This window comes from Homo sapiens, chromosome 14, assembly GCF_000001405.40.
Source record: "Homo sapiens chromosome 14, GRCh38.p14 Primary Assembly".
In the NCBI taxonomy this organism is placed as follows: Eukaryota; Metazoa; Chordata; class Mammalia; order Primates; family Hominidae; genus Homo; species Homo sapiens.
In genome coordinates, this window is record NC_000014.9 from 58934030 (window position 1) to 58947411 (window position 13382).

At 41.8% G+C, this 13382-nt stretch overlaps 1 long non-coding RNA gene across 1 annotated transcript in view; it reads left to right on the plus strand.

Moving 5' to 3' along the window:
- The window catches only part of LINC01500 (long intergenic non-protein coding RNA 1500), a 189041-nt gene that overhangs the window by 105742 nt on the left and 69917 nt on the right, over positions 1 to 13382 (plus strand). The gene's annotated exons all lie outside the window — the stretch shown is intronic.

Sequence of the window (13382 nt, forward strand, 5' to 3'; positions counted from 1 at the left end):
TATAGCTATCATCTACTGTTTTAAGCTAATAATTCTGTTGAATACAAAAACTTTAGACTTTTACCCTACCATCCCACAATTTATATCTTTGATGTCATATTTTACATCTTTTTACACTGTGTATTTCTTAACAACTTATTGTAGCTTTAGTTATTTTTTACCATTTTAACTTTTAGCCTTCATACAAGAAATATGTATGATTACAGTATTGGAGCATTCTGGATTTGCCTATGTATTTACCTCAACCAGTGAGTTTTATATTTTCATATGTATTCATTATAGTAATTATCACCCTTTTGTTTATGCTTGAAGAACTCCCATAAGCATTTCTTTTTAATAAACCAGGCCTAGTGGTAATGAATTCTCTTAGCTTTTGCCTGTTCGGGTAAGACTATTTCTCCATTTGCGAAGGACAAATTTGGTGAGCATAGTATTCTTGGCTGACATTTAAAAAAAACTTTTATTTTAGGTTCAGGAGTACAGGTCAAGATTTGTTACATAGGTGAACTTGTGTCACAGAGGTTTGGTGTGCAGATTATTTCATCACCTGATACCCAACAGTTATTAATATATTTTCTGCTCCTCTCCCTCCACCCACCCTCCATCCTCAAGTAGATTCATGTCAGTTATTTCCTTCTTTGTGTTCATGAGTTCTCATTTACCCCCCATTTATAAGTAAGAACATGTGGTATTTCATTTTCTGTTCCTGTGTTAGTTTGCTAAGGATAATGCCCTCCAGCTCCAACCCCCATGTTCCTGCAAAAGGCATGACCTTATTCTTTTTTATGGCTGCGTAGTATTCCATGGTATATATATACCACATTTTCTTTATCCAGTCTGTCACTGATGGGCATTTAGATTGCTTCCATGAGCTGACAGGTTTTTTTTTTTTTTTTGGTTTGTTTTTGGTTTTGTTTTTTTTCACCAGTTAAATATATCATCCATATTAGTGTGTTCTCATGCTGCTAATAAAGACATAGCCAAGACTGGGTAATTTATAAAGGAAAGAGGTTTAATTGACTCACAGTTCCACATGGCTGGAGAGGCCTCACAATCATGGCAGAGGTGAATGAGGAGCAAAGTCATGTCTTACATGGCAATAGGCAAGAGAGAGCTTGTGCAGGGAAACTACCATTTATAAAACCATCAGATCTTGTGAGACTTATTCACTACCATGAGAACATCATGGGAAAGACCCACCCCCATGATTCAACTATGTCCCACCAGGTCCCTCCCAAAACACATAGGACTTACAGGAGCTACAATTCAAGATGGATTTGGGGGAGGTCATAGACAAATGATATCATTCCACCCCTGGCCCCTTCCGAATCTCATGTCCTCACATTTCAAAACCAATCTTGCCTTCTCAACAGTCTCATGTCCTCACATTTCAAAACCAATCTTGCCTTCTCAACAGTCCCTCAAATCTTAACTCATTTCAGCATTAACTCAAAAGTCCATAGTCCCACATCTCATCTAAGACAAGGCAAGTCCCTTCTGCCTAGGAGCCTGTAAAATCAAAAGCAAGGTAATAACTTCCTAGATACAATGGGGCCACAGACATTGGGAAAATACACCCATTCCAAATGGGAGAAATTGACCAAAACAAAGGAGCTACAGGCCCTATGCAAGTCCCAAATCCAGCAGGGTAGTCAAATCTTAAATCTCCAAAATGATCTCCTTTGACTCCATGTCTCACATTCAGGTCACACTGATGCAAGAGGTGGCGTCCCATGGTTGTGGGTAGTGCTGTCCCTTTGACTTTGCAGGATACAGCCTCCCTCCTGGCTGTCTTCACAGGCTGCCATTGAGTGTCTGTGGCTTTTCCAGGTGCAAGCTGTCGGTGGATCCACCATTCTGGAATTTGAAGGATGGTGGCCCTCTTCTCACAGCTCCACTAGTTAGTGCCCCAGAGGGGACTCTGTTTGGGCGCTTGTACCCCACAGTTCCCTTCTGCACTGCCCTAGCAGAGGTTCTCCATAAGGGCTGTGTCCCTGCAGCACACCACTGCCTGGACATCCAGGCATTTCCATACATCCTCTGAAATCTAAGCAGAGGTTCCCAAACCTCACTTCTTGACTTCTGTGTACCTGCAGACCCAACACCTCTTGTAAGCTGCTAAGGCTTAGGGCTTGCACCCTCTGAAGCAATGATCTGAGCTCTACCTTGGCCCCTTTTAGCTGTGGCTGGGACACAGCATCAAGTCCTGAGACTTCACAGGGCAGCAAGGCCCTGGGCCCAGCATACAAAACCATTTTTTCTTCCTGGGCCTCCAGGCCTGTGATGTGAGGGGCTGCTGTGGAGACCTCTGACATGCCCTGGAGACATTTTCCCCATTGTCTTGGTGATTAACATTTAGCTTCTTGTTACCTATGCAAATTTCTGCAGCTGGCTTGAATTTCTCCTCAGAAAATGGGTTTTTCTTTTCTATTGCATTATCCCGCTGCAAATTTTCCAAACTTTTATGCTCTACTTCCCTTTTAAACATAAATTCCAATTCCAAACAATATCTTTGTGAATTCATAAAGCTGAATGCTTTTAACGGTTGTGGTGACCCAAGTCACTTCTTGAATTCTTTGTTGCTTAGAAATTTCTTCCACCAGATGCCCTAGATCAACTTTCTCAAGTTCAAACTTCCACAGATCTCTAGGACAGAAGCAAAATGCCACCAATATCTTTGCTAAACAAAGAAAGAGTCACCTTTGCTCCAGTTCCCAACAAGTTTCTCATCTCCATCTGACACCATCTCATTGTGAACTTTATCATCCATATGACTATCAGCATTTTGGTCAAAGCCATTCAACAAGTCTCTAGGAAGTTCCAAATTTTCCCACATCTTCCTGTCTTCTTCTGAGCCCTCCAAACTGTTCCAATATCTGCTGTTATCTATTTCCAAAGTTGCTTCCACATTTTCAAGTATCTTTACAGTTGCGCCTCACTACTTGGTACCAATTTACTGTATTAGTCTGTTCTCATGTTGCTAATAAAGACATACCCAAGACTGGGTAATTATAAAGGAAAGAGGTTTAATTGACTCACAGTTCCACATGGCTGAAGAGGCCTCACAATCATGGCAGAAGGTGAATGAGGAGCAAAGTCACATCTTACATGGTGACAGGCAAGAGAGAGCTTGTGCAGGGAAACTCCCATTTATAAAACCATCAGATCTCATGAGACTTATTCACTATCATGAGAACATCATGGGAAAGACCGAGCCCCATGATTCAATTACCTCCCCCCAGCTCACTCCCACAACATGTGGGAATTATAGGAGCTATAATTCAAGATGAGATTTGGGTGGGGTCACAGCCAAACCATATCATCATCCCATTCTCTCCTGGCCTACAAAATTTCTACTGAGAAGTCCAATGATAGTCTAATGGGGATTTCCTTATATATGACTTGATGCTTTTTTCTTGCTCTTGAAAAATTATTTTTGTCTTTGTTGACATTTTGACTATAATGTGCTTCAGAAAGGATCTTTTTGGGTTTAATCTATTTGGGAATTTTTCAGCTTCATAGAGTTGGATGTTCATATTTCTCCCAAGACCTGGGAAGTTTTCAGCAATTATTTTATTAAATACATTTTCTACCCTTTGTCTCTTCTCCCTCTAAAAACTCCATAGTACAGAATTTGTTCGCTAATGGTATCCCATAAGTTCTGTAAACTGTCTTTATATTGTCATTCTTTCTGTCTTTCATTCTTTAAAAAAAATTTTTTTTGAGGCAGGGTCTTGCTCTGTTGTTCAGGCTAGAGTGCAGTGGCATGATCATGGCTCACTGCAGCCTTGACCTCCCCAGGCTCATGTGATCGTCCCACCTCAGCTTCCTGAGCAGCTGAGACTACAGGCATGTGCCACCATGCCCTGCTAACTTTTGTATTTATTTGTAGAGATGGGGTCTTGCATGTTGCCCAGGCTGGTCTTGAACTTCTGGGCTTAAGCAACTTGCCCACCTTGGCCTCCCAAAGTGCCAGGATTACAGGCATGAGCCACTCTGCCCAGCCCTCTTTTTCATTCTCTTTTTCCTTCTGATTGAGTCATTTCAATAGAACAGTCTTCAGGTTCAGATTATTTCTTCTTTCCGTTCTAGTCTGCTGTTGAAGTTCTCAATTACATATTTTTATTTCATTGATTGAATTCCTTAAACTCAAGAGTTACATATTTTTTAATATCTCTCTTTTTGTTGAGTTTCTTATTCAGATTATAAATTGTGTTCCTGATTTCCTTGAATTGTCTATTTGTATTTCTTATATCTCACTGAGTTTTGTTAAGATTACTATTTTGAATTCCTTTTTAGGCAATTCATTAATTTCCACTGGGTTTGGGGTTAGTTACTGGAGAATTACTGTGTTCCTTTGGTGGTGTCATGTTTCCTTCATTTTTCATGTTCCTTATGTCCTTGTATTGTTGTCTATACATCTTGTGGCACAGTCTCCTCTCCCAAACTTTACAGAGTGGCTTTCATAGGGGATGACTTTCACTTGCAGATGGGCCTGAGGGTGCTGATTGAGCAGGACATGGTGGCTCTGGTTCCATGTGGTATTGTCTCTATACAGCTTCTTCAGTTTATAATCTACATCAGTGATGACTGCAGTTGCTTCAGTATTATAGGCTGAGTCTGTGGCAGTGACAGTGGCTATGTATATTATTAGGACAAGGGCTTTATGAATCCTCCTATTCTCATCTTTCTCACAGAGGGGAGACTTGGGATTGCTCTTGGTTTTGGGTATGACCTTGCTCACAGGAAGCCACAGTGGCAATGGAATTCAGGGTGCTGGTGATTGGAGCAGTTGTGGAGTTGGGTTCCTGGGCCCTGGGTCTTATGAAACTACTCCACCACCTGGGACTTGAGGTACAGGTTTACACTCCAAGGCACAAGTGAATGCAGTTACCCGACTAAGCTGGGGTGTATAGCTCAGGCCTCAGGGGCTGGAATGTAGCTGTTGTTCTGACTCTGGGGGTCGGGGCAAGGCACAGATCTGGTTGGGCTCTAAGAATGAAGGAGTGCTCTCAAAGCCCATCCTGCTCCTGTGGAGCAGGGCACAGCTGCAATTTGGGACCTGGAACCAACAAGGCATGAGGTACCACACAATGATAACTCCGGCCTGTGAGACACAGCAGTAGCCCAGGCTCTATGAGGCTAGGTACAGCACAGCAAGGACCTAGAGATGCCAAGATACCACTGTGGTTTAGGCCTCGGGGAACAGGGAAAATTACATCAATGACTACACTCCCACAAAGTCAGAGTGCCTCAGCAGCTTGGGTTGGTGGCGGCTAGTCCAGTTTCAGGTAGACAGGACCTTGTGGCTGCTTGGCTTGGAGTGTGGGGTGGCACAGTTGAGTCAAGGTTCTGGATTCCATAGGACCCAAAGTGAAACATCTGCTCAGCCCCAGAATGTGGTGCTACATGTGTCAGTGGAGCCTCTGGATCCCTTAAGTTAGGATGCCATGTCAGCTGTGGTGCAAGGAGGTGCAACTGCTCTGATGTACTTGAGCTTAGAGTCCCCAAGGAGCATTGTGCCACCTCAGTGTGGCATGGGGGTGTGTCTACTCTGGTAGTTCAAGGCTCCGGGTCTCTGGGGGTTGGGGGACCATTTCTGCTTAGCTCTATGGGGAGGGTGCAGTAGTGACTGAGATGGGAGGGATGGAGTGGCTCTGTGGTAGCTTGTTTAGAGGGTAGGACATAGCAGCATCTCTGTTGGTGGATGGTGTGCTATAAGGTGAGCATGATTTAGTGGCAGCTAAGCCTCAGGGACAGAGGGATGCAATGGCTACTCATCTCTGGAGCAGGACACGCTCTAGCAGGGGCTGTGGTTCCAAGAGAGCACAGAGCAGTAACAGCATGGGCCATGTTGGGGGTGGGGGATACTGAGCTCAGTGTTGGCTTCTTCTCTGGGGGTAGCTCAGTGTGTGGACTCTGGGAAGCTTCCTCAGCTGGGCTCTGAGCCTGTGGACTGCAGTCATTTCCAGTAGGGAAGATCGTATGTGTCCACAGTGGTGATAGGAGCTGCTGGGGTTGTCTTGTTTACCTTTTCCCCAGAGGGGAAACCAGTCCCTTCCGGTTTTGAGCTAATCTCGAGTTAGGGGATGGGGTGGTGAAGGCAAGGTGTTTTCTTACCATCTCTATGCGGCAATCTTGTGTTTCTTTGCTCAACAGGATTTCTGCTGCTTTTTTTGATGTTCTCCGGTGCTTTCCTTTAGTTATTTTGGTTGAAATGTGGTTGTTTATTTATTGTTTTGGGTTTTTTGTTGGTGAAGAGTGCTAGGAGCTTCTAGTTGGCCATCTTGCTGATGTCACTTCTTAGAGAAGGACTTCTTGATGAATATGAATAAAAATTAATATGAATATTAATAAAATACTCTCTAGAAATTTACATTCTCATTAGCATATATTTCCTGCTTCTTTTGATAACATTGAATATTATCATTTAAAGATGTTTACTTTTTGGATAGATACAATGCTTATTGGGTTCATTTTAATTCATATAAGTCACTAATAAGATTAAACTTGTTAGTGTATTTATTGGCAATAAGTATATTTTCATATATAAATCACTGATTGAGTTACTTGCTAGTATTGCTCTTGGATTTTTATGTGATTGAGCCCAGCAGTATGGTGGAATAATTCTTAGGAAAAGAAATAATCTCTTTGAGAGGCCAAGGAAGGCAGATCACCTGAGGTCAGGAGTTCAAGACCAGCCTGGTCAACATGGTGAAACTCCGTCTCTACTAAAAAAAAAATACAAAAATTTGCCGGGCACAGTGGCTCACACTTGTAATCCCAGCTACTTGGGAGGCTGAGGCAGGAGAATCGCTTCAACCTGGGAGGCGGAGATTGTGGTGAGCCGAGATCGCGCCACTGCACTCTATCCAGCCTGGTTGACAGAAAAAAAAAAAAAAAGAAATAATCTAAAACTAGAAGGGGATAGGTTTCTTTAACTGCACTAGTTTCCTCAGATTTGGGTATTTGCATATAGTTTACTCAAATTTGAGTAGCTGCATAGAGTTTTTTTGCACCTTAGGGCTCTCACACAGGTAGCTGATGGAGCTTTGCGGATGGTTTCCTAATGCCTGAGATGGATCAGTAATCATTTAATGAATGAAGGAATGCTCAGGAAGAAAAAGGTCGGGCTGCATCTCCAAAGTTTATTGTCTATGACAATAGCTAATATTTGTTGACTGTTTACAGCGCTTATTGAGTTATTTATAAAAATTGTCTTATTTAATTTTTCCCAAATGCAAAGAGGTAGGTGTGTCATTATCCTCAGTTGATAGATGGGGAACTGAGGCTAAGGAAAGCTAAATAACTTTCATAAGGTCTTAAAGGTGGTGAGTGGTGGAGCCAGTTCATTCTACCTTCAGCTCAAACTCTTAATCACATAGTGAGGCAGCAGTAGGCTAAACCAGAAGTGAGTGCATGCCATCTCCCACGTGGAGGCACTGCTGACATTTTGCCATCCTGTCTCCTTGGTCAGAAGCTTGATGATCCGGGTGGAAGGGCAGACAATGTACAGAGTCTGCTAGGTGGAGGCTGTCAGTTTTTGAAAATGGTGCTTTGAAGGGGACTGGGATAATGCAGATTGTGAAGGGAAATGCTTCACTTGTTAGGGTTCTGCCAGGATAATTAATGGTCTCAGTGCTTTAAAGCATTCTTTCTTGTCTTTCAGAGACTCTTGGGACTCTTCCAATCTTGACGACTGTAGTGCACACAGAATCGTGTATTTTAAGGGTTTAGTGCAGCCAGGTTGGGGCAACCTCATAAAGCATGTTGGAATGAGGGAAAGGATAATTCCCCTGGAGTCATGTACAAGAACTTCCACAGAAGCAATAGTCTCTTTGATTATTTTTTTTCCATAGCTGGTGAAAAGAATTCTGTGTTAGAGTTAAGCATGTGGTTGAACTGCTATTGAAAATATGCTAAGCCACAGTAAATAACTTGGGTTAGATATGTAGAAACAGTCTGTCTGGTTTCTAAGCTCTTTGTAACAGCTAGTTTATCATTATACTGCATGGGGCATATATGTGTTTATGGCAGATCTGAAATATCTTTGTGTGGCAAATGAAGGGTAGCGTATTAAAAAGGAAAGGAGTGTGAACCAGGGATGTAATAAAGAGATCATTCTTGCTTGAAGCAACATACTGAAAGCAGCAAAGAATAAATCTTTCTTTGTAAATACATTTGGAATACTTTAAGCATGTTACTTGTGTCTTTTGAATTCCTCTATACAGCATCTACTTTTTCATCATCTAAAAATGTGTTAGCTCTGCTCAAGTTCTGGATGTGGCTTAGATTTACTGCTAGTGTTTTGAATTGTTTAGTCTCCTAATTCACCTCATCATGTAAAAGCAACTCTCTAAGTTTGTTAAGGGATAATTGACTTGCCACTCTAATGAGCTTGGGAGAAGACTAGTTTTCAATACAAACCTTTCATTTAATTTAAGTATATTTTCCCAAGTCTGTCTATTTTTATGAATGTACTTAATATATCTGTGTCCCTTCTTAGATTTGCTCTAACAAGCTTAAACTCTGCTCATTTAACTGTTCTGTACCCACTATCATCCATTCTGTCCAGAGAAACTCTTAATACATTCTTCTGGCAACTAGTTAATTGGCTCCTACTGACTCACTACTTTCACAGCCTCCCCTTTCCAGTTTAGCTTTTCCCTGCCCTGCTCTGTGTTTGCACTCTGTAAGTATGACACAAGAGGCCCCTATGAGTGTGACACAAGAGGCCTGTCTGTTGGGCAGAGGCCCGTTGAGACAGATTTCTAGGATGTTGTTTTTAAATAGCTAGCAATTATTGAGTGCTGACTATATTCCAGGCACTGGACTAAAATTTACGTGCATTATCTCATTTAATTCTCATAATACCTATGAGGTTGGTGTTGTTAATATAGTTTATTAGATAAGAACACTGAAGATCAGAGAGGAGAAGTGACCTTGCCTAAGGTCACTCTTTGGAAGTGTCATTGGTCAGCGTAATGTTTACCACGAGCCAGAATCTGAAGCTCTTTACTTTGACTCCAAAACCCTGCTCTCTGGGATGGAATCGGGTGGGGAATCCAATGGGGCATGTTGCCCTGTGGCAAACAGGCAATGAAAATCACAGGTGTTGTACTCAGGAGAGAAGTAAAGAGGTTTCCTCAGTCCTAGGCCAATATTCTATGCTGCAAAGATCCTGAGGTAGGATATAGTGATGTGAGTGGGTGTTGCCACTCCTGGATCTGAGAATTCAGAGCAGAGATCAACATTCCGTAATATGCCAAGTCCAGAATAAGTATTTTGGGTACCCAAAGTTTGGGATTCAGAAAGCACCTGACACTAACATGTCATTGGCTTTTGAATTTTGGAGTCCCTTTGAAATGATTGGTTATTTCTTTGGACAAACAGCAAGGACATAAAATTACATTCTGGCATTTCTACATTCACTGGCTAAAGTGATCTTTTTTGGTTGTAGCTTTTCATATGGGGTAATGAGGTAAAATTAATCTCATGATCTTTAAGACAATGGCATCAGCACTTTGACAAGGTTTAATGTGTCTTCAACCTCCATTTCACAAAGGTATGCTTTTGTCCATGCCCGGGATGTGGTCATGGTTTTCTCTCCCTGAGACAGTTGAAGCCAAAGGTAGAATCTCCAGGAGAGGTGAAAAGTGGGCTGACATTTTTGCTCATTTTCTTCTGTGCACATCTTCCTGAGTTTTCCTTTCACTATTTGAGGTGTCTCTTATTAATCTTTGCCACATTTATTATTATATTTTTATTTCCCCAAGTCACACATATGCTTCATGACAGTAGACTAAACATCTGTTATTCCAAAGCTGAGTGGTTGTTTCTTTTCCTTGAAGGAAAATTTGTATGAAATATTTTAACTTTAGTTAAACATATCTACTTGCTTTCCTATTTCCCAGTCTTTGTATTCACCTGCCTTTTTCTTTAAGTTTGCCTAATTTTCTTCCTCAGTAGCATTTCCCACCATTTGTGCCATTTTACAATTAACACAGATAAAATGAGGATGATATTTAATCAAAACTGTATTGAGTTGATTTTCTCTGGAGCTTCAGGCACAGAGAGACAGGAAAGCAGAGAAATATGTTGAAAACACAGATTTTAGAGACATGATTCCTGAATCCCACCCTAATGCCAGCATTGCCTCATCCTGCGTGTGGAAGATGGCCATTTCACCATTCTGTGCCTTAGTTTCCCAAATTGCAAAATAAAACCTTTCTTATTTCTTAGGGTTGCTGTGAGGATAATGTGACAGCGTATTTGAAAGAGCTCCGAGCACTTAGCAGGAAAGACATTGTAATCTGTTGCCTATTATAATGGGTTATAAAGGGGACTAGCATAAGGAATAATTTGAGACCACAGTGCCGTAAAAATAATTGCGTATACTTATCCAACCTGTCTCCTACTCTTCCTTATACATGCCTATTCTATTAGCTCTGTCCCGGAGCGGGTAGAGAGGGTGGAAACACTCCTAGATTGGTTGGCATGGAAACTAGCCCCAGAGCATGCTGGGAGCATGCAGGCAGTCCTTGGACCCAGCTGTGTGGCAGGTGTAGCAATACCCCTCCCCCACAAAAATCACTGTGGGACTAAGGAATGTCTAATTTGACTAGAACTAGAATAATAGAAATACAATTGAGTTGTAAATATGCTGTTATCCCTTCTCTTAAAAAAAAACAGCACAGCACTAGAGTAACTTATGGCAAGAGAGACTTTAAATTAGCCTTTCTTGGCACATCACACTCTGCCTTATGAAATTATTCAGTTAAAGAAAGACTGACTGGTGCCTATGTATCGACTGTGATAGATGCTTTTAGGAATGTCTGTGCATCCTATACCCATACCTTTTATCTGGAAACTTTCTCTCCCCACATAATAATGAATCTCAAACAGCCATGTTAGAGCCACCCGGACTAGATTAGAACTGAACCCAGATTCAAGATAGACCATCAGATTCTCTCTCCCTAGAATTCGAAATTGGAAATGATGGATTTTTTTCAGCCTAGACGATTTGCTTAAACTATACTATACCCAGGAAGTATGCCAAAGATTAGTCTGGTGAGTTTTACTGTTGTGTGTGCACAAGTTTATAGCCTGCACTAACTTTTGAACTTGTCAGTAGCAAGAATTTAGTTTTATCCATCTGAACCTGCCAGATTGTTATCTTTGACCTTTCAAACAAGAATTGTGAGAGCTGTGAACCATCTTGGGGGTTTAATCATTCCTTCTGGAAAACTGGTGGCTCCAGTTTATACATAAAAGTTGTAAGAGTTGTGAAGAAATGAGGTTTAAGTGAGAGTGGTATTTAGTGTTATATTAGTTAGAATCCTGGCAGAAAACAGTTGGCATGCTGATCGCATAATTTTAGAATGTAATAAAGAGGTTATTTTCAAAGAGCCTAGTGTAGGGAAACCACAAGGGATAGTGTAATACCCTGTAGCTCATGGGTTTCTGTTACCACTTCTATGCTTGAATGGGGAGGGTTCTGGGAACCAGAACACAAGAAAGCAAGAGCACAGAAGAGAGAGAAAAAGCACAAGAGCTCTGTGGGGACAGGACCTCCCAACAGGAGCATGAAGCCAGTCCATGTAACTCCACAGGCCAGGAACTGAGGGGATAAATACCTCCCCTGACCTCACTTCTTCACATCCTCCTCCCCAATTAATCTTCTATTGTTCCTCACTGGTTGAACCCAACTGGAAGCTAGAAGACAAGAGAACCTATTGATGCAATCCATGCAACTCAGCCTCCTGGTCAATAAAGCAGAGTGGTGAAGGGTATGGGGTGGATCAGAAGGATGAAGTGGAGATCTGTGGTGTGGTGACCCCCCTTTTCATCCACTCTAAATCAGGCTCTCATCTTTTCCTACATTGGCCAGCACCTCTTGCCGGGTCTGATCATGTGACTCCCCAACTGCCTCTGTCTTCATCTGGGACTAATTTCCACCCCTGACACTTGCACTCATTGAACTACCTGCAGTTTGTCTTCATGACTCTTTATATTTGTAGGTACCATATGATCTGCCAGGAATGCCTTTTGCAGCCTTTGACCACCTGTCAAACTTCTAATCAGCTTTCACAAACCAAAGTTTGTTTTTCTTTGAAGTTTTCTGGTTTCATCCCAGCAGAGTAGGGCACTTTCTTTACTGTCATCCCAGATCATTTTCCCCCTTCCTATTTTCACACATGTTGCAGAACAATGTTAACACTGGTTTATGTCTCTCCCTCTTCTGCATGTCCTTGGTGTTTTCTGTGTCTGTTGCACTTCATTTGGTGTCTGTAGCACTTAGTAGAGTGCCTGGCAAAGAGTTGATGTTCAGTCAGTGCTCAATAAATAAACAGTATTTTTCTGTTTTCAATCATGCCTGTCTCCTGGCTTCTTCCACATTTCCACATCTTCCAGATTAATCTTTCAAAATTCAATCTCGCTGTGATCCTCTCATTCCTAGATCTCTCTAGTGGCTTCCTTCTGAGTGCAGAATGATGTGTAAGCTCTCCAATCTGTCCACAAAACCCTTCACCATGGGGCCTCTGCCTGTGTTTCAGCCTCATCTTCTACCACTCCTCCCCACTGGCTCTCTTCCTGCATCTCTCATCCCCATTCCAAGTCCTGTGGAACTCCTGAGCATTTCCTAGCAAGCTATACTTTCTCATATTTTGTCACATTTGCATCTGTTCATCCTGCTGTCTGGAATGGCTTCTCCATTTTCTAATACTCTCCAGCAACTCTTGCCTCTCCTCCACCCTCTCCCCCTAGCTCTTCTTCATTGGCTAAGTCCTATTTTTTAAAGACTTAGTTTACATGGCATTTCCTCTGTGAAATTTTCTTAAAAGCTCTTTCTTGCAACACAACAAAGTTAGCTACTTTTTTTTAACCTATATGAAATTTATTTCACATTGTGTTGAAATGATTTGCTTATTGATGTGTTGCTATTGTCTTTTTTATTTCCAGAATCGAACACAGAGCCTGACACATACTATATGACTAATAATTGTGTCTTGAATGAATATATGAACAAATGAATCAAACCTGAGTCCTATGGTTCCCTAAACTATACAGAGAACAACTGTCTCCCTCTTTCTCTGGTTATTTCTATTCAACATGTGAAGTCCTGCTTGTCTGGGGCACACAGGTAGATCAAGCCCACGTGGTACATGGCCAATAGGATGTAAATAGAAGTGTAGGAAACTTCAGGGCAGTGTCCTTAAAGGGAAAGCTAGTGGCCTTCTCCATTCTTTTCTCCTTTCTGCTGGCTTTGCTGTGGATATGTGGGATGCAGCTCGAATAGCCATTTTGGAGCATGAGTCAGAAACTGCATGCTGAGAGTGGTCAAACAACAAGCTCGGGGAGCTTAGATCTCTGATGATCGT